Source organism: Homo sapiens, chromosome 8 (assembly GCF_000001405.40).
Source record: "Homo sapiens chromosome 8, GRCh38.p14 Primary Assembly".
In the NCBI taxonomy this organism is placed as follows: domain Eukaryota; kingdom Metazoa; phylum Chordata; class Mammalia; order Primates; family Hominidae; genus Homo; species Homo sapiens.
The window spans coordinates 101141241-101162914 of record NC_000008.11 but is presented as its reverse complement, the minus strand read 5'-3'; the positions used below and the strand labels follow the sequence as shown (position 1 = coordinate 101162914).

Genomic DNA, 21674 nt, shown 5'->3' with positions numbered 1-21674 from the left:
AGCAACAAGGCTGTTTATTTCACCTGGGTGCAGGTGGGCTGAGTCCAAAAAGAGAGTCAGCAAAGGGTGGTGGATTGTCATTAGTTCTTACAGGTTTTGGGATAGGCGGTGGAGTTAGGAGCAATGTTTTGTGGGCAGGGGGTGGATCTCACAAAGTACATTCTCAAGGGTGGGGAGAATTACAAAGAACCTTCTTAAGGATGGGAGAGATTACAAAGTACATTGATCAGTTAGGGTGGGGCAGAAACGAATTACAATGGTGGAATAGTTAAGGCTATTTTCACTTCTGTGGATCTTCAGTTGCTTCAGGTGATCTGGATGTATACATGCAGGTCACAGGGGATATGACGGCTTAGCTTGGGCTCAGAGGCCTGACACAGAATAAATCTCTTCAAATATTTCATAGAGTTTGACTCTTTTTGTCAACACTGGTTTATTATAAAAGATATTACAAAAGATACAGATGAACACCCAGATGGAAGTGATACATAAAGCAAGTATGTGGGAAGGGACATGGACCTTCCATGCCCTCTCTGGGTGTACCACCCTCCACGAACCTCCACGTGTTCAGCTATCTGGAAGCTCCCCAGAAACCCTGTCCTGGCCGGGTGCGGTAGCTCACACCCGTAACCCCAGCACTTTGGGAAGTCAAGGCGAGTGGATCACCTGAGGTCAGGAGTTCGAGACCAGCCTGGCCAACATGGTGAAACCCCATCTTTACTAAAAATACAAAAATTTGGGCCAGGCGTGGTGGCTCATGCCTATAATCCCAGCACTTTGGGAGGCCAAGGTGGGCAGATCACGAGGTCAGGAGGTCGAGACCATCCTGGCTAACATGGTGAAACTCCGTCTCTATTAAAATACAAAAAATGAGCTAGGTATAGTGGTGGGCGCCTGTAGTCCCAGCTACTTGGGAGGCAGAGGCAGGAGAATGGGGTGAACCCAGGAGGCAGAGCTTGCAGTGAGCCAAGATCGTGCCACTGCACTCCAGCCTGGGCAACAGAGCGAGACTCCATCTCAAAAAAAAAAAAAAAATTAGCCAGGCATGGTGGCGGGCACCTGTAATCACAGCTACTCAGGAGGCTAAGGCAGGAGAATCACTTGAACCCAGGAGGCGGAGGTTGCATTGAGCCAAGATCGCGCCACTGCACTCCAGCCTGGGTGATACAGCAAAACTCCAGAAAGAGAGAGAGAGAGAGAGCGAGCAAGAGAGAGAGAGACAGAGAGAGAGAAACCCTGTCCTATGGGGTTGTTACGGAGGCTTTATTACATAGGCACAATTAATTGGCTACTGGCGACAACTTAACCTTCAGCTCCTCTTCTCTCCCAGGAGGTTGAGGGTTGGGGCTGAAAGTTCCACCCCTGTAATCCTGCCTTGGTCTCTCCAGTGACCAGCCCCCATCCCAAAGCTACCTAGGGGCTGCCAGCCATAATCAGCTTATTAGCACACAAGACACATCACTTTGAAAATTCGAAGTATTTTAGGAGTTGTATGCCAGGAAATGGGACCAAGACCAAATATACCAAATATGTATCTTTCACAATATCACACATGGTTAAGTCCAAAGACAAAGGGGCAAAAAAGTATTGGCCAACTCTACCAGAAGACATTGCAAAATCACATAAAGGACGAGTAAAGAATAGCGAACAATAATCCAATCTACCACAGCAACTCATATAAGAGTGATAGCCTAGACGTGGAAATGTAGAGTGGAATGGACTAGGATGTCAGGTTTCTTAAACATCTACACCTGTAATATGACAGACACCTGTCTGACGATGCAAAGAGTTCTGATCCTAGGATCAGGAGATCTGGGTTCCAGATCTAACTCTGGGGCATACCCAGGCTTTCTCTTGTTGCTATTTTCTGCCATAGATGTTAAAACTAGACCATCAGCACTTTGGGAGGCTGAAGCAGGCGGATCACCTGAGGTCAGGAGATCAAGACCAGCCTGGCCAACACGGCAAAACCCCATCTCTACTAAAAAATACAAAAAATTAGCCGGGCATGGTGGCAGGCTCCTGTAATCCCAGTTACTCGGGAGGCTGATGCAGGGAGAATTCCTTGAACTCGAGAGGCAGAGGTTGCAGTGAGCCGAGATTGAGCCACTGCACTCCAGCCTGGGCGACAGAGCAAGACTCTGTCTCAAATAAATAAATAAATAAATAAATAAATAAATAAATAAATAAATAAAATAAAACTAGACCATTCAGATTGATTTTTCTTCTTCTTGTGTCACCCTCTGCCCTTCCCTTCGCACAGTATATGAGGCCCCTGTTGTACAGTATCTCCTGAGGCCAGCCTTGCAATTGACCTTAGTGGTGCTGCCATGAAAACAGCTGTCAAAATTGGATGTGCTACTTGACGAAAAGCCTAGAAGGAAATATTCCAAAATGTTATTACTAGTAGTGGGACTTCAGGCTATTTTTATGTCTTCCTGTGTTTTCCAAACTTTCTGCAATGAGCAAATATAAATTTTATAATATCAATAAATGTTTAATAATTTTTTTAAAAACTTGTCTTAGTTCAACTGTATTTTCATCCATCCTTTGCCAATAAATATATCTATGAAACATTAATCAGCACAAGGAAGCAGCCAAGCTAAGCCTTCCTTTTTTGGAGACAGGATCTTGCTCCATCGCCCAGGCTGGAGTGCAGTGGTGCGTTCACGGCTCACTGCAGCCTCAACATCCTGGGCTCAGGTGATCCTCCCACCTCAGCCTCCCGATTAGCTGAGACTACAACCACGAGCCACCATGCCCGGCTAATTTTTTATGTTTTTGTCAAGACAGGGTCTCGCCATGTTGCCCAGGCTGGTCTCAAACTCATGGACTCAAGCAATCTGCCCCGCCCATAATCCCAAAGTGCTGGGATTACAGGCGTGAGCTACCATGCCTGGCCAGGAATATATTCTCATACTCTAACCTAAGAGCAGTTATTGTCCTTTTTAATACTAATTTCTGAGACATTTGTTTTTTCCTGAATTTTGGGGTGGGGAGCGGATTTTTAACTTGAATACAAAAGAACAAACACAATTTGTCCTCTTTTTCTTCACTTAGTTATTGTTATTGTTTTGCTTTTGTCCTGTCTAGAAACTAGGTCAGGCATGAGTAGCACAAGAAATCTACCAGCTGATATACTTCCAAAATTCTCATCAGCCCCTCCCACCCCCCAGCACTTAGTCATGATGCATCTGACAGCAGGCAAAATTCCCACCTGGGAAAGAGTGCTCTGTGTGGTTGGGGTTATCATTACCATTCAAGTCCTGATTCACTCAAACCACACGGTAGTAGGTTTTGGGTGGAAGGCTTCTGCATCTGGCTAATCCTTACTGCAGTTACTAACACAAGCCCTCCCTTGATCCCACCTCCCCCCAGGACTGTCTTGTCTCTTTCATCTCTCATTTAAAACTGCCCAAACCCACTCCCTCCAATTCCTCGCCTCCCACCTCCCATGCACGTTGCCACCTCACACAGCCTGGCTTCCATCTTCCTCCCTTTGGTGAGATTGCCCCATGAGTCATCAACAAACTACTTTTCAAGTCCAAAGTTCAGCCCCTAGTTTACTTTAGCCTCTCGGCTATATGTAAAATCTTCAACTATTCATTCTTCAAACTCTTACTTTCTTGGTTTCTAGGAAATCCTGCTCTCCTGGTTCTCCTTGGCCTCTCTGACCATTTAATTTCCCGTTTCTCCTGTTTTCTTCCCCTCAGCTTTTACTTGTTCTCCTGGACTCCACCCTCTGCCCACTGCTATTCTCTCTCTTGGTGGTCTGATGCTTTCCTAGTTTCAACCATGATTCATATGCTGATAACTCCAGCCCAGACCTTTCCTCTGTGATTCATACTTCCTGGAGCTGCTGGTCATCACAGGGATGTCACATGGGCCTGAAACTCATCAGATCCAGAACTGAACTCTTCATCTGTCCACTAGGAGTCTTTGGTTGCAAGCAACAGGCACTGATCCCAACTAGCTTATTAATTGGAAGGACTGCAGGGTGGTTCCTAGAATCAAGGGGATCACTGAATAACCTGGTGACTGTTGGGTGAGAACCAGGTCACTGTATAGATTCAAGCTCCCAGGAGTGAATTTGACAGGCCTGGCTTGGATCATGACCCCACTTCTTGGGGTCCATTATCAAAGTGGGGCCAGAAGTGCACAAGGTCCCAGATAGACAAGACAAGAGCCACCACACCTCCCAAATCTGCTTTTTCTTCTACGTTCTCCATCTCAGTTGGTAGCCTACCATCCATCCATCATCTGCATACACAGGGGGCGGGCAAGGAGTATTATTCTCTTTCTTTCATATCCCAAAGCCAATCAGTTATTAAGTCCTGAGATTTTACCCCTCAGAGTATTTCTTCAAACAGTTGCCTCTTCCCTATCACTTGGACCCTTGACCTTGTTGGGGACTTTCTTGTCAACAGTTTGATGACTATTAAGCCTCCCCAGAAGTTGGGAGTTTTGCCTACTTTAAATTTGTCCTTCACATAATAGCTGGAGGAATCCATCTAAAACCCAAATCTGACTGTGTTTCTCCCCTGTGTAAAGTCCTCACTGCAGTCCAGGTTTCTTGATACAAGAGACAAATTCTGCCAGGGTCCAGCCTCTGTGTGCAACTCACAGTCACACTCCGTGCTCTGCTGGTTGTTCTGCAGCTACGTTCTTCTTTGCTATGGGATCCCCTCAGCCCAAGAGGCTCCCCTGCCTCTCTACCATCCTATCCCCAATCTGGCTGTTACCAACTCACCTTTCAAACTCAGTGGACACCTCATCTACCCAAGGGAAAAGATTGCTCAGTATCCTCTGTTTCACTGTGAGTCTTTCCTCTTGGAGCTCTATGAGAGCATGGGGCCACATCTATATTATTCATTGCCAAATCATTTGCACATGGCAGGTGCTTAATATATTTTCTTAGGATAAATAAATATATACATACTTCTGTGTATGCTTCTTCACCCTTCATTTGCACCTTCAGTGAACTTAATGGATTTTTTTCTCTTTTTCCCAGTATACAAATCACGACTTCATTATTGAATGTGCTCGTTTCCCTTTGGAAGCCAGCCAAAACTGGGGAGAGAATGGAGGTGGGGCTACTGGACAAACTACCCCGCCAAACACAGTGTTTGCTGGCCACACTATAGCCCTGCAGAGGGCGTTTGCAAATGCACTGGGAAAGAGGGCTAATCCCCCTTCCATGTGCTAGCTACATGGAGCACCTGCCTTACACGTATTCACTCATTTCATTGTCACAATAGTCCTAGGAAGCAGGTCCTATGTCCTACTGTATCAGGCAGGGTCCCATCAGGTAGCCAATGAGCACACTTCAGCTAGGTAATGGAGGAGAGTTTAGTAAGGGGACATTTATAAAAGTATAAGCAAGGTAAGAAACTTTGCAAGGGATACATGATACCCCAGGGCTAGCAACAGCTGGAAGTCCTTATCACTGAAGGGCAGCCAACCCTAGCCACCCAGGAGAGAGGGAACCGGGAGAATAATACCCTGGCCTCACTTTTCTCCTGCCAAGGCTCCCCATCACCCAAATGCAACCAGAAAACAAAGGGCAAGGAGGCTCGTTGATGTGGTCCAGGGGATGAGCCCACCAGGCCATAAAAGGACAAGAAGAGTCTAGAGTGACTCTGCAAGGGCACATGTGACCAGTATAGTGAGATTAGACAATCCGAGGGGATGGAACCAGGGTGCCCCAACTTTTCACCTGCTGACTCTGCTTCTCTGCCTCGACAATGGTGTCACAAGACTCCGTTTTTCTGGCTTTGCACACTCACTAACAGCACTTCTGTTCCCACCATCAAAACCAGGTCAGGCACAAAATTCTTGGCTGAGCTAGAAGTTCTCCATGAAGACCCTAAGAGATGGTCGTGTTAGCATGGGACAAATCAGTGACCCTAAAATAAGGAAGCAAGGCAGCCTCCTGTTTATAAACATAAATACACACACACACACACACACACACACACACACACACACACACCATATTGCTCTATGAGCTCCCAGGAAACCACCTGGTAACCGCCCTCCAACAGCACAGAGAATGTTTCCAATGAAATGGCCCCAGCACAATGTTCCAGCAGCAGGTTAACAACCTAGACTTGGGAATCAGACTAGCCAGGAGCTGGATCCTGGTTCTATCACTGGCTACGTGAACTTGAGTGTCATCTGTGAAATGCAAATCAATGACACCCATGGAAGTGTTGTGAAGATGAAATGAAATACACAATTGGCTTTGCACTCATTAAATGTTAGCTGAAAACCACATAGTGGTAACTTCTGTAGCTTGGCACTACTTTTTGACCTAATTACTTATTTGTTCCGACTTTTTGAATCCTTTAGAAATGGATATTTCCACAGCTAAAAGAAGGATAATGATATTTTGTAGTGATTATAGTTTTGAAGTACTTTCCTTTTAATTTCCATATGGTAGTACTTTCTCCATATTATCAAATATGATTGTTATCAAAACCCAGAGAGAACAGCTACCCAAAAATCACTCTGCCTATTTTAAAGATGGGGAAACTGACACCCAAAGAGACTAAGTGACTTGTTCAAGGTCACACAGAAGGCACATGGCTGAGTCAGGAATGGCATTCTCCTACAAAGGCAGCACCTGACTGGCTTGTCTCTGTGAAGGCAGATTGATGGGCAGCTCGGAGGGCCCGCTGTGCGTGCTCAGACATTATTCCGCAGCAGTCATTTGTCTGCTGGCTGCTGGATCACTTAACAACGGGTGTTTCGCCAAATTATAATTATGCCCTTCGCTTGCAACAAAGAATATCTGAGCCACTTCCTCTAGCTCTGCCTGAGAGCCGTAGAGTGGCGGTGCCTGCAGTTGGGTGGGCGTGCACCCCCGCTCACTGCTGTTCAGTCTTCCTAGCACAGACCACTTCTCTGTGGCTTCTCATGGCAGACAGCAGTGTGTGAACCCCAGTGGCTGTCACGAGTGCTTTCTCTTGTGGTCAGAGAGCAGAACTTGCTACCAGGTTTAAGTTACTGGAGGTGGAGGTTTTTACAATCAAAAAGCCAGTCTTTGAAAGCACAGAAAATGCATTAGCATCCCCTCCCTTGGAGAGAGCTATTTTTGTCTTTCGTCTTCACAGACTGTGCTCCAAAATAGGGAGACGAGTAGCAGGAGGGGAACAAAACAATATCCACAATGTCTCCAGCTCAGAAAGAGCAAATCACTGCCATTTCCTCAACAACAACAATTGCCACAGCAGTAATGGAGAACAGACTGAGTTGGAGGCAAGCTGCCCTTGGGTAAAGCACAACACGGATCTCTTTCTGTGGGATTGCTCTCCATATACTTCATGAAACAAGGTTTGTTGCTATGGTTACTAGCAAATCACATGATAGCCTGGCTACCTAAAAGTGTGGGAGAACAGCCCAGATCAGAATGTGATGGGGGTAGGGGATACCTTCCTTCCCAGCTCGGCTGCATTTCCCTAGCAGACTTGGATGACCTCAGAGGTCTTCCTCATTTCCAACCAGCCCACACGTGGGGTTAAAGGCCAGCCATTCTTTGGGCACCAAGAGATTCCTTTCATAACGAGATCATCACAAGTTTGCCTCAAGGGCCTCTCCCTCTTGTTCCAGGAGCCCCTCTCCGCCTCCCCAGCCCCTTCCTTCCCTGGCCCCTCTGCCACACACAGGTGCTGTAATTCAATCGCTGAATTGAGTGGGAGGGGGTGGAGTGTGCAGCCTACACCACTTGAATAAGCTCTTTTCTAAAATCGAGGATGGCATGAGTCAGGGAATTTTGAAGCTGTGATACAATCAGGACACTGGTGCCTCATGGGGGAGAAGGGAGGGAGGATGGACTCGCCCAGATCCTAAAGAGACAGGCAGGGTCTGGTTTCCCAGGTACAGCCTCAATGGGGTTTGGCAGACCCTCAGCCTCAGAGTGATGGAACTGGGTCCATCCTGACAATCTCTGAGGTAATGTGATGGATATGACCTCACGGGCATTGGCTTCCAGGGAAGAGAAAGGCAAGACCTGGAGAAAGCTTTCAGACAACCCAGCTCTCTGCCTCTTCCCCCTCCCTCACTCCTTCCCTGCAGAGCCCCATGGAGCTAGCAGAGTCATGTGCTCAGAGAAGTGGGTTTGTGAGTGGGTGCACCTTAGCAGCAGCAGCACGGGCTGGAAGTGCACATCTGTTTCTCTGACAATTACAAATTGCCCACTTCTTCAGGTTCAGATCGTATCTCATCTTTTCAATTCCTTTAGAGTTTCTTGTCTTCTTCCTCCACAGCAAAAGCAAGATCTGGATGACAGAAAAAGACCCAGAAGAGTAAGCAAAAGACAAGGACTGAGGGGGCTTCTGCCCTAGATGTGCTAGGTGATTCAGAGAACTTCCTTCAGGGCTCCTGCCTCAGAGAGCACAGTGTATTCGGAGGAGAGGAGACGCACAGCCACACAAATGTCATTAACCCTATTGGGCACCACAGAGCAAGGGCTGACACCCAGCCCAGCACTTTGGGAGGCCAAGGCGGGCAGATCACCTGAGGTTGGGAGTTTGAGACCAGCCTGGCCAACATGGAGAAACCCCATCTCTACTAAAAATACAAAATTAGCTGGGTGTGGTGGCGCATGCCTGTAATCCCAGCTACTCGGGAGGCTGAGGCAGGAGAATCACTTGAACCCAGGAGGCAGAGGTTGCGGTGAGCCGAGATTGTGCCATTGCACTCCAGCCTGAACAACAAGAGCGAAACTCCATCTCAAAAAATAAAATAAAATAAAAGGAGTCTGGTGGTATGCTGCCCAGAGCTAGCAAGATGTCTTCTCTGGTTGCTCCAAGATGTTCAACATGTGGCTTCCACTTCATTATCCAGGGTTGTTGCTCATGATCCAGCCATCACGTTCACTTTCTAGGCAGCAGGAAGGAAAAAAAGGAGGGAAGAACTGCATGCTGTCTCATTAAGCACACTTCCTGGAAATGCACCCCGCCCCCCACTTCTGACATTTCACTGGATAAAATCTAGTCACATGGCCACACCTAGCTGCAAGGGGTCCTGGGAAATGTAGTCTATTCTAAGATGCCACGTGCCCTTCAGGGAATGCTATGCTAAGGAAGTAGGAAAGGATGGACCTCTGGGCACAACTAGTAGTCTGTGGCACGGAAATATATTAGTAGAATAGCACATGTGCATACTTACAAAGAAATAAACGTGCTTATTGGGGGCATAGTCAAAATTGGGGAGTTTGAAGACAGCTGCTATGGATCATAGACTCTAGGAGAACATATAATTGAGAGAAGAAATATGAGTTGTTTTTTTAAACCAACTTACAGTCATTCATCCTTCTCCTGGTCAAACAGTATAGAGAATTTTCTCTAGGGACTCATCCCTCCCTCACTCTCAGCCACATAGTTGCAGGGGTGGGCTGAGGGGGAGCTTCTAATAGTCTTAGTGAACAAGTTCTCCTGTCCCACCACTGGGATTGGTGCAGGTCACTGAGAGGCAGCACAGGACTTGCATTTGACTCTTACAGGGGAGACGGTGGACATAAAGCTGAGAACACATGAAGGAGGGAGCTGCCCAAACCTTCTTGCAATCATGGTGGAAGAGCCTGTCTGAGGGTGCGGAGGAGATTCTCATTCAGAGGATGAGGGAGCCGCGCTGAGAGAGGACCAGGTCCTGGAGATATCGTTTAAGTGTCCGTATCAGGCTGCATCTGAACACAGCATGAGTCGTGATGAGGAGTCATCTTGGACCGTCTGGATGGGGTCAGCCCCCTAGAACTGGCAGAGCAATGAAGTGGACAGAGCCTGGCATTGCATGACTTCCTGGAGCAGAGCCACAATACCTGGCTGGAGGGCTGCATGAGAGAGAAAAATCAATTTTCATCTTGGTGCAGTCCTACCTATTTAAGGGTCTTTGTCTTAGCAGCCAGCCTATAACCTAACCAGGACACATGAAGTAATGATCTCATTTAATTACCCAATGCCTGGAGAGTGAGCACAGGGCAAGACTGACTCAGGAACCCAGGATGCTGGCCCCCACATTCAGCACGATTCAGGCGTCCCTAGGTGGAGTTCCTTTCCTACATGCTGGATGGAGTCATGGCCCTTCATTTCCTCTTTGTACCTAAGTACTTTTGGGACTATACCCCTGTGCACGGCCCAGGTCTGGGCTGGGGCTTCATTCTCGATAGACATTGACCAAATAAATGAATAATAAATGGTCTTTCTGAGTTTCAGAATATCCAGAAGGCTAGTGGAGGATCAAATGAGATCATGTTTGAGAAAATCTTTTGGAAACTACAAATCAATATGTACGCTTTGGTTGTAGTTATCCTTCTCATTAGGAAATTCTCTAAATTTAGGGCAAGAATATGGCTGTGCTATGAATATATATAGATATATATATTCATATTCATACACACACACACACACACACACACACACACACACACACACATGAATTCTGTCCTGAAGAATATGTCCCTGTAGTCTGGTTCTGTCTTTTGGTGCCTTTCTCCATGAGACAGTTCTTCCAGTCACACCACTCTTAGAATTGGAGGATAGTTAGGGGCTGTACAGATACCACTCCCAGTGCAGTCTACCCCCACCCCAGGCAAAATTCCCCTTCATGATGTTCCCACTAAATGATCAGTTGGTCAGTGGCCCTCCTAACAACTGGGCACAGAGATCAAAATGTGACTCAACAGTGTAGGATGGGAAGAGTCCCACGCTGGTCCTTAGACATTCATGTGTTCTCCCTATCTCTATACATGGGCACCTTTCCCAACAGCCCAGAATCCTCTTTAAAGGTCAGGTTCAAAGTAACCAGCTCTGCAGAAGTCTTCCCAGTCTGGCAGGGGCAGCTAGGTAGTCCCTTTTTGTTGCTATGTCACTTTGTAGTTAACTCTATTATAAGGTGTGTCAACTTTCTACTTCCAACCACTACCTCGACCCTTCAGAAGTGAGGTTTTCAAGGCCAGAGACTGTGTCTTACTCATTGGATTCTCCAGCACTTACTTCAGTGCCTGGCATTTGTTGATAATTTAACGAAGCTTGTTGAATGGATGAGTGAGTAAAACACAGGAGCAGAACAGAGGGGCATTGAGCCCTTGCTCTCTGACATGAGACAAACTTGGGCCCAAATCCCATTATTGAATTACATTCTTTCCTGCATGCATTCATCCATTCAAATATTTTATTGAGCTCCTATTATATTCTGGACACCCTGCTAGACACCAACATAGGATAAACAGGAGGCACAAGGTCCCTGTCCTCACCGAGCTTATGTCTGAATAGTAGAGACTGAAAATAAGCCAGTGAATAAGTAAATAAAATACCTTGGCTCATGCCTGTAATCCCAGCACCTTGGGAGGTCAAGGTGGGAAAACTGGAGCTCAGGAGTTTGAGACCAGCCTAGGCAATATAGTAAAACCTTGTCTCTACAATTTTTTTTAAATTAGCAGGGCATTATGGCTCACACCTGTGGTCCTAGCTACTTGGGATGCTGAGGTGGGAGGACTGCTTCAGCCCCAGAGTTCGAGGCTGCAGTAAGCTGTGATCGTGCCACTGCATTCCAGCCTGAGCAACAGAGCAAGACCCCATATCTTAAAAAAAATTTCTTTTAAGATGTCTGCAGATTCTAATATGTCCTATGAAGGAGATGGACATGGGTGAGTGTTGCCAGGGCCATGGAGTCAGCAGTGGGCTACTGGATAGGTGGGCAGGGAAAGCCTCACCAACGACCTTGAACTGAGTCCTGAAGAATGAGAACAAGCCAGGCTTTTAAGGAACAGAAAGAACAGGGACAAACAGAAACGCAGGTGCTTCTGTTTCCAAGGCTTAGTTTCTTCATCTATAAATAGAAATAATAACAGCACCCACCTCACAGTTTGTTGTGAAGCTTAAATGCTTGGAAACACTTAGCATAGTGCCGGGCACATAGAAAGCACTTCATATATATTAGCTCTTATAATCAATTACAGGGTCACGCTGGAGAAAGGAAATGAGAGTGAAGCCATGGCAGCCCTCTGTAATGACCACTTCCGTCTCCAATCTGTCCCAAGCCATCTGTTAAATAATCCACTGAAGAAGGATCTTAGGCACCAACCTCAGTCTCTCCCATCTAAGGTCTCTAGAATCTCTTTAGAATAAGTGTAAATACCTTGTATGATTTAGCACATCAAGCCAGGCATGGTGGCACACACCTGTAGTTCCAGCTACTCAGGAGCTGAGGCAGGAGAATCGCTTGAGCCTAGGAGGTCAAGGCTGCAGTAAGCTATGATTGCACCACTGTACTCCAGCCTGGGTGACAGAGTGAGACCCTGTTTAAAAATAAAAATTAAAAAAGATTGAGTAAATCCAATGGGATAATGCAATGGAAAGCCTTGTACAATTATAATTATTACTCCTGTTGTTTCTTCATTGTTTCTGGACATCTCTCTCACATGCCGCCCGTTCTAGCCAGCATGCTGCCCAGTTTGCCAAGGACCTTCTTAAAATGAAGCCCCTGAAACTGAACATGGAAACTTAAGCAAGCTCTAGCAGAGCTGGGACTGTGCCCAAGGCCCACTGACCCAACACAGCCTAACAACTGGGTCATAAGTTAGCAACCTAAGCAAGAGTAAAATCCGAGCCTGCTGCCTTCCAATCCTGGACCTCACTGGCCAACAAGGTGCATGGACAGCACCCAGTGTCTGGCAGTGAGATGAGGTCTGTCTGGTACTCCCGAGCACAAGGCAGCCTTCAAGGAACTGCAAGGCACTCACAGTCGTGTTTTATCTACTGGGCAGATGGGACGGTCTTGCATTTTAAAGGAGAAAACAGAAAGAGGCAAAACCTTTTCCACAGTTCAAAGTCATCTGAACCTGCGGTTTCTCTGATAAGGGATGTGTGTGTGTCTGTATATGCGCATGTACACATACACACATGCGTGTATTCAAGAGAGGAAAAACAGCACTGCCTTTATCCTCTCTGCCACTGACTCTTGCAGATATGATGATTTTATGTGTTCATGTGAAGTCTGGCCTTAAACGGCAGCATAAGCAGAGAAATGCCAAGGGGAGTGGTGGAACACACAAGGGCATAATTACAGTGAGCTTTGTCCAGCTAACACACCAATAATTTGCCTCACGGAATGATTCAGCAATAACCCTGCCAGAGTTCCCAAAGAAACTCCATATCTGGGATGATGTAATGTCTCCCCACCTCTGATACCGCCTCTCTCCACACCCACCGCCACACGCTCACCATCTCGTCTAGAGAGCCACAATTCCATCTGTGAACCTTCAGTTGCCATCTGCATTGTGACAAATATGTATCTTATTATTCAAATTGTATTACAATGTACAATGTTGTCAATCTAGCCCTTTACACTTGATAATTCAATAGAAAAATTAAGACCTGGAAAAAATGCTAACCTCTGGTGAGTTATATAGGAACAAAAAATCGTGAGCTATGTCTGCAGAATGCCTCTAGTATCTCAAATTGGATATTTGGACCCTGCTTCCCATGAATATTCATACTTTGAGGCAAAGTGATTGATTTCATTTATCACTGGAAGTGGAGGTGACTGTCTAGACTTGCTACGTGAGAAGCATTGCAGAGAAAGGGACCCTGGCCCTCCTGAGATGCACCTTGTGTGTGGCTGGAAGATACTTTTGCTTGCCTACCCCAAATCCAGATCCATCAATCTCCCCTTCTCCCTGACCAGTAGAATCAGAGAGATGCTCATGAAGGTGCTCTTAGCATAGTCTAAACTAATTTTGCTTTAGACTAATTTTGATTTGCCACTCCTGACTAGGCATGTAATTCATTTGATTTCACTTTGTATCAAAGAACAATATAGAAGATCTGGGGGGTAGGGAGAGTTCTGGGAAAGATTTCTTTGCTGATAAATAGAGACTCAAAGAATATATAGCTTCTTTTTTCTATGGATGTTGTTATGATGCAAGGAAGTCCTACAGCCATTTGGCAAACAGGAGAGGAGGTAGCTAGAAAGACAACAGAGATGGCAAAAATCTGGGTCCTTGATGCTGTTGATAAACTGTTAATAGGACAAAAGAGGTAGATCTAAGAAAAAAAATTGCTAATAAACCAAACTTAGAGCTGCCTTATCTCCAGACTTTGCATTATGTAAGATAATACATTCTTTGTTATTTAAGCTGGTTGGATCAAGGCTTTCTGTTATATAAAAGCTGAAAACATCACTACTACTTGCAGCAGTGACTTTCAAGCTTTTTGATCATAAACCAAAGAGGGAAATATGTTTATGTGTAATGTACTCTAAAGTGTTCTATTCTACTCTATTCTATTTCATTTTTTAAAATTCAGGTCACAACCCACTAAAGTGATTTCAAAGCTCACTAATGGGTCATGACCCACATTTCAGAGAACATTAAAGTCATAAGGTATATAAGCTACTGTGATATAATAGAAAGCATAATGTGGTGTCATCAAAGACGTACCACTGAAGTGCTGTCATAGGAGGGAATGATCACTTCGAGTTGGGGGAAACAGGGAAGGTTTGAAGGAAGAGCTGGACGTTGAAGAGTAGTTCCATTTCCAGCAAGAGGAGTGGGTGGAGAATTGGGGGGTGGGGGGATTTGGTTAGGGAATGACAGGAGCAAAGATAAGATGGTGAGAAATACAGATATGTTACCCACCAGGGGGTGAACCTGGCCAAAGGCTGTGTATGGTTTCGAGAGTAGTGAGAAGAAAGGTGTGATTTGGGTTAGGTAATGTGCAGCCTCGAATGCCAGGCAAATGGGAGGCCCTATGAAGGCTGTGTAAGGCTGTGTCTAAGAAAATCTAAAGCGGTAGCAGCTGCAAGCTGGGCTGGGCCCATGTCACATCAATAGCTGAAACTGGCAAAGCTTAAGGCCAGAGGCAAATAAGAAAGGCCTGTGTTCTTGGAGGTCTGCTTCTGCCACGTCACCTCCTTCTGCCTGCAATTCCTGCAAACCCATTCTCCACAAGGGTGGGGCTCCTGATCAGTGAGCTGCTCTTCTATGATGAACAAAGAGTAAGCTGGCCTTTCTAAAAATCTTGCCTGGCAGCCCACAATGTAAACTAACAGTACTGATGTGATTCTTCTAAATGACACCATCAGAGAGTGGGCAAGATTGGCCGATTTTCAATCTCAGAAGGCTGACAACCCCCAGCTTCTCATTGTTCATCTTCTTGCTCCCACCTGCTTGCCTGCCGATGTGTTCACATTTTGTTAGATCCAGCCTCCAAAGGTGGGCTGAGCCTTGCTACTTGACACCTCTAATAAGAAAAATTCAGTGGAGGAGGATTTGAAATTGCTGGTTACATTGGGTGTTTGTGCTATCTGTGGATTTTAATTACCATTCCTTCCCTAATCTCTCCCTGAAAAGCAAGAATTGACTCTTATGATGGAAATTAATCGGAACTAATCTGCAGCTTCTCTTTTACTATAACCCACAGACCTAAGGGGTTGGCAAATCAGAGTGGAATTTTCCTGGGAATCCATATACTGAAGAATAGAACCAGATTTTAATAACTTCAAAGCGGCGCCAAGTTTGTGCTTGCCCTGGCTCTTCAAATAAGTGAGGTTTTGAATATTTAAGACTGAATGATCAGATTTCTGGAATACTGTTTCTGTCCTGACAGTTGATACTCTTTGTGGTTTGGGCAGAGGCCCCTACATGTCTGGCCCACTGCCTCCATATGGAAAATTACAACTAAGACCTATCCTTTGGGAATGCAAAGTAAGTTAATTGCTTGGGGTGGGTGGGCATATTGATGATGAAAAGCACCAGCTAGCCACATGTGACCCCAGAGCATATGGAATCAAGTGAGGAGTTAGCATAATTACTGTTGATTCAGCCTTGGTATCTTCTCCAAGGGGGTTTATTTGGATTTTTCTTTGTAGAAACTTTCAGTGCCTCATGTATTAGAACCTAAGATTGGAGTTAATAAGCTGAATAAAAATAAGTGAAGGAAAGAGCAGACAGGTAGGGATTACCTTCTCCACATGTCTAAAGCCACCATCGCCATCTCTTCCCAGTGCTGCATCTGCTCTGAGCTGTCCCTTCTGGGTACATGGTGCCAGCATCTCCCCAGCCACCTGGAATCTTGGTGTCATCTCCAGTGTTCCTGCTCCTTGCCACCCACATGCGGTTGATTACCAGATCCTTTAAATGCCTTGTCCTCTCTGTTTCTACCCTTCTTAATTCAAGTTCTCAGTGCATCCCCACTGGCCTCCTGGGTTAGCCTCCTTGACTGGCCCTACTACTTCCCACCTCTCTTCCCATCTCAGTTCACCCCTTACTTGGCTACTGCAGTAATTTCCTAAATAACAGCTTTCAATAAGTCACTCACTTCCTTGCACTAAATTCCTCAGGGGCTCCCCCATCTAAAGGTTCACAGGTTCAAAGGCTAAACCTATGAACATGTTATCAAGAACCTTCAATACTGTCGGCCCTTTAACCTATCATCCCAAGTGTTTTCTCCCACGACGTCTGGTTCATAGCCCAGACTGTAGGGCAGAGAAGGCACTCCTTGTACTTAATCTGGAAGCATTTATCATATTGTATGGAATTACCTGGAACCTGAAACACCCACTAGACAATAAGCTTCATGAAGACAGGGTGGGGTTTTTACTACTGGTGTCTACCATAGGACCAGGCAAATAATTTGAACTCAATAAACGTTAGTTGGAAGGCTGGGACTGGTGGCTCACACCCATAATCACAGCACCTTAGGAGGCCAACACAGGAGGATCACTTGAGGCCAGGAGTTCAAGAGCCACCTGGTCAAAGTAGCGAGGCCCTAACTCTACAAAATAAAATAATTAGCTGGGTGTGGAGGCATATGCCTGTAGTCCCAGCTACTCAGGAGGCTGAGGTGGGAGGACAGGTTGAGCCCAGGAATTTTCAAGGCTGCAGTGAGTTATGATCGTGCCACTGCACCCTAGTCTGGCTGACAGAGTGAGACCTTCAAAAAAATATATATATATATATACATATATACACATACATATGTATATATATATAAACACATCTATATATATATATATATATACACACACATCTATATATATATATATATACACACATCTATATATGTGTGTATATATATTAGTTGGATGAATCAATGAATGAATAAGTATGTAATAGGTCAGGGATTCTGGTTTTAAATTGAATCTGCTTATCAGTACCTACTATAACCTTTGTCAACTTTCTACTAAAATACCTATTTAGAATGCGTGAAGAGTAAAAGCATGTAACCCCACCAGAAGTTAAAACAATTGGAAAATCCACTGCCCAAATATGGAAGAAATGTAGACAAATTCTAAGTTCTATAAGGCAAACTTCAAAATCAAACTAAGAAAGAGTACATGTTCCATCATCTCAAAAGAAGAGGCCTATCATGCCAAGAAGGAAGCCATCTTATTTCTCTCTAGATTTTTTTTTACCTCTGGCTTAGAAGCCCAGGGTCTGGATCAACCAAAAAAATTGGGAATCCATCCCTCAATTGCTTGGGTTCTGTGTTTCAAAGCAGCACTCCATTCTCCTCTTCTTGACCTTACCAACAATTCCCCTCTTTCTGCATTTATTTAGAAATTGCAAGTCCCCATTTAATAAATAAATTCTAAGAAAACAAAAGTGCAGAAAGTTGGGTACATATGTGCATGGTGGTGGAGGTGGTCAGGCATAGGCTGGCAATAGGTCAATTGTTGGAGGAAGCATAGTTCCAACAAAAGTAAGGTTTTGGGCGATGACAGAACCAGGAAAAGCCCTGGGAACAGTATATTCTGGCGGCCAGATGTTTATGTGTGTGTGTGTGTGCGCGCGCGCGTGTGCACGCACATGCACTTTTTTTTAATTCAGAGTGTCAACTAGACAGATATTAGTTGTAGGAGAAGATTTTGCCTCAATCCTACAAAGCTACATGAAAGGAATACGTGCTCTGTAGTCACTGGAAATTGCACCAAGCTCTGCACACTACACTATCTTACAGTTGTCTATCTAAGAATGAGATTCCACAAACGTCCAAATGGACAGTGAGTGGAGTCAAGAGAGTCACAATGTGTCTTTTAGCAGCCAGTAGATCTGAACAGATTTTCCTTCTTGCAGGATAAGCTCTGCAGTACTGCAGATTAAAGAAAATGGAATGTCATTCAGAAGTCTAGAGGAAGGTCCTGTTTCTGAAAGTGATGTACTCCATGAACCGGAAGAGAATTCTAAACTACTGTTTTGCGTCTTCGTTAGGACATAAGAAGACATGGCTTTTATGAAGTAGGAGTGAAAAATTATGAAGAAAGAGCAGGTAGCAATGGAGGGAGAGCAGAATGAAATAAAGAACTATTGTGAGGAATGCAAGGACACATGGTGATGTGATGAAAAGAAGACCAGCTGTGGTCACACAACATCTAAAAGTTATTGATGTTGCCAAGAAAAGAGCAAAGCCAGTTGGAACAGATGCAAGAACCAAAGATGTCATCTTTCATCATAGATGCATAAAGCAAACTCTCACACTTTCATCAAAGATGTGTAATTACCAGGTTCTCACATCCATGAAGCTTTGCCCGAACACTATTTGTTCAGTAACGGAGTAAGAGCCTACTGTGTAACAGACTCTGTGTTGTGGACCAAGATAAAATGGTCATCTCTCTCCTGTGGTCCCTTCCACACCCAGTCCCCAACTCTACCATGCCACCTACAACATTCTGCTGTTTGTAACCATTAACATTTCTGCCCTGCAACAGAAATGTGGGGTCCTAGAGGGCAGGATGGTAATTTGCCCATCTCTATGTTCTCAGAATCTAATACAAAAAAAGTTTCTTGACTGAATAATGAAGTGCATGAATAAAACATCAGCAGATTGACCAACAGTTACAGTTCTCCTATGATGATTTCTTTGACAATAACAGTTCACAATCAGTTCTTCTAGGACCATCTGGTGTTGATTCTCTGACCACACCTCCTGAGGCCTCATCAGAGTACAGAGTCCACTGCACTTGCGGATGTGTAATTAGCTGGTATTTCCTTATCATGTTTCTATTTCCTCGTGGATATTTATTCAAAAACAATTTCTAATAACATTCTTTAATAACCTTTTTCCTAATTTTCAAAGCAATGCAAGCCCATTTATACACAGAAAAGCATAAAGCAAACTCTCACACTTATAAGAGGTATTTCTGAGGTCTACCCAGTCCTTCAGGGCAGGGCTTTCTGTTTTGATCACAGCCAGCCCCATCTAGAGCACTTGGAACAGCTCAGCATACCGTAGGCACTCAATAATGAGTATTTGTCAGATGAATGTTCTTGAGCAGGTACCTGGTCTCCGCAGCCTCAGCTGCTTGCTGGGTGAGGGAAGGAGCTTCCCGGGTACCACCAAGACCCCTGAGCTCCTGGGCATGCCCTGGTGGCCGCCACTGTCCTGGGAATTAGTGCCATCTCTGTCTCCCAGTACTGCACACCCCTCTGGGCCCTGTGGCTACTAGGCATTTCTTCTGCATTTGGGGTCCCGGGCCCTGGGGCTTGCTGGGGCCACAGACTGTTTCTGAGCTTAAGAGGCCTGGTTTTCCAGCATTCTCCATGCATGCTCCCTTCAGAACTGGACAGGAAATCGCCCCCTCCCTTTTTTATGAAGGGTGGAAAGCCGGTGGCCTGACCTACTGATGACCTGGTATTAGTGAAAGCTCTTTATGTCTTTAATATTTTGATGCTTGCTTTAACTGTTCCCCCATGGACCATTTAACTGTGGCTTAGCCTGACTTCTTTCCTCTTCACTTTTAAGATGCAAAAGAAAAATGATTAGGAAAGAGCCTGATATGGTTTGGATGTTTGTCCCCTCCAAATCTCATGTTGGAATGTGACCTCCAGCGGTGGAGGTGGGCCTAGTGGGAGGTGTTAGGGTTGCGGGGGCATAACCCTTATGAATATCTTAGTGCTGTCCTCATGATGATGAGTGAGCACTCACTCTGAGTTCACAGGAGATCTGGTTGTTTAAGAAGAGCCTGGCACCTCCTCCCTCTCTTGCTTTCAGTCTCTCCACGTAATACTCTGGCTCCCCTTTGCCTTCTGCCATGATTGGAAACTTCCTGAGGCCTCACCAGAAAGAAGCAGGTGCTGGGCCTATGCTTTGTGCACAGCCTGCAGAACCACGAGCCAAATAAGCCTCCTTTCTTTATAAATTACCCAGTCTCAGGCATTCTTTTAAAGCAACGCACACGGACTAATACAGAGCCTAACCAGGAAAGCCTGCTCACAGCCCTTCTACCGCCGCAGTGAATACAGGGGCCCCACCTGGGTGCACCCCCAGGCGTGGCACTGAGAGGAATCAAGTCCCTGGGTAGGAGCTTCTGTGTGGGTGGCTCCCTCTATCACCCCCAGGGAGGAACTGGGAGATGGCAGAGGCCAAGACTTCATCCTGTGACTCAGAGAGAGGACAAAAGCGGTCAGAGCCTGTCCATCTTCAAGAAGCCCGCGCCCACCACAGGGAGAGGCTTTCAGGATGCATGGGAGCTGTCTCCCGGCCTCCCATCCCCAGCCCCCAGGTAGCACGGCTCCCCTTTAACTGGCTCTGCAGAGTGGGCATTTGTATGACATTTCATTTTCTTTTCGGAGGTTACACAGCCAGAAGTTTGAAAGCCCCTGCCATCCAGGGAAGCCAGCAGTTACCCAGGAAGGGCCTTTTCTGGTGGCAGCACCTGGAGGTGGTCTTTTTCTACTTCAGCTTTGCAAGTCCCAGAACTCCACTTTGTCAGGACACCCAGAATAGGTCAGTTCTGAGCTACTGACTTAACCAGATCCACAGAGAATAAAGAATTGATCAGAGCACCAGTACATCTGTTCACAACTGAGAATGCCCCTTCTCAGGGATCAGAACATTAATGACCAGCATTGGGAGCCACCTGGCTAATTCTTCCTAGTATCAAAGCAGCCAGGGCCAGGTGCAGTGGCTCATACCTGTAATCCCAGCACTTTGGGAGACCAAGGTTGGCAAATCACTTCAGGTCAGGAGTTCGAGACCAGCCTGGCCAGCATGGTGAAACCCTGTCTCTACAACAAATACAAAAATTAGCTGGGTGTGGTGGCACACACCTGTACTCTCAGCTACTTGGGAGGCTGAGACAGGAAAATATCTTGAACCCGGGAGGCAGAGGTTGCAGTGAGCCGAGATTGCACCACTGCACTCCAGCCTGGGCAGCAGAGCAAGACTCTGTCTCAAAAAAAAAAAAAAAATTGTAGCCAGGATGCCACATTAGTAATCAGAAGACTGTTCTGTGGAGCTAGAATAAAAAGCAAGGAAGGTGGATTCAGTCAATGGCATTTTATCCAGGCCATGGTGGACCTGATGATTCGTGTCTTTCTCAACAACAAACTCCTCTCTCCTGCCTGGAAAGCTGCAGCTACTGAATCCAGGTAGCTCCTGGATGGCGCTGAATAGAACCTGCCTGGAGCAGACAATGTTCTTGCTACCCCCTGGCCAATTCTTACTTCTTGCTTCCCCAAAGAACCCTGCCTCTCCTGGTACTTATCCTCCTCGGCCTAGGTAGAGGCTTCAGGGAGGTGCGTCCCATCTGAGGACCCAGGAGATGAATCTTTACTGGTCCAAACAGTGGATCTCCTCCCTGTTGGACCCAGTACCCTCTTTTTATCACAAATATTTTTATATTTTTTTGCCTCAAACTCCTGGGCTCAAATGATCCTCCCAGCTCAGCCTCCT

At 45.8% G+C, this 21674-nt stretch overlaps 1 long non-coding RNA gene across 1 annotated transcript, besides 4 other annotated features; it reads left to right on the top strand.

Moving 5' to 3' along the window:
• Positions 3100–3394: a silencer, noted in NCBI's record as "tiled region #12099; K562 Repressive DNase matched - State 5:Enh, and HepG2 Repressive non-DNase unmatched - State 1:Tss". NCBI's record gives its function as "represses a minimal TATA promoter and a strong SV40 promoter by Sharpr-MPRA in K562 cells, with weaker repression in HepG2 cells {active_cell/tissue: HepG2 | K562}" and the evidence as "EXISTENCE:reporter gene assay evidence [ECO:0000049][PMID:27701403]".
• Positions 3700–3994: an enhancer, noted in NCBI's record as "tiled region #12327; K562 Activating DNase matched - State 5:Enh, and HepG2 Activating DNase unmatched - State 1:Tss". NCBI's record gives its function as "activates a minimal TATA promoter and a strong SV40 promoter by Sharpr-MPRA in K562 cells, with weaker activation in HepG2 cells {active_cell/tissue: HepG2 | K562}" and the evidence as "EXISTENCE:reporter gene assay evidence [ECO:0000049][PMID:27701403]".
• Positions 13044–13188: an enhancer, noted in NCBI's record as "145 bp enhancer 220/221 fragment used in the MPRA reporter construct; PK_construct_3324". NCBI's record gives its function as "activates an SV40 promoter by MPRA in HepG2 cells {active_cell/tissue: HepG2}" and the evidence as "EXISTENCE:reporter gene assay evidence [ECO:0000049][PMID:23512712]".
• Positions 13111–13121: a transcriptional cis regulatory region, noted in NCBI's record as "NFE2L2 motif; enhancer activity is reduced when this motif is scrambled". NCBI's record gives its function as "necessary for full MPRA enhancer 220/221 activity {active_cell/tissue: HepG2}" and the evidence as "EXISTENCE:site-directed mutagenesis evidence [ECO:0005528][PMID:23512712]".
• On the top strand, positions 14594–18834 carry LOC105375676 (uncharacterized). The gene is made up of 3 exons (XR_928465.4): positions 14594–14612; positions 15423–15706; positions 18077–18834. It is a non-coding gene; the product is annotated as an uncharacterized LOC105375676 (long non-coding RNA).
• Positions 18835–21674: the final 2840 nt, after the last annotated feature.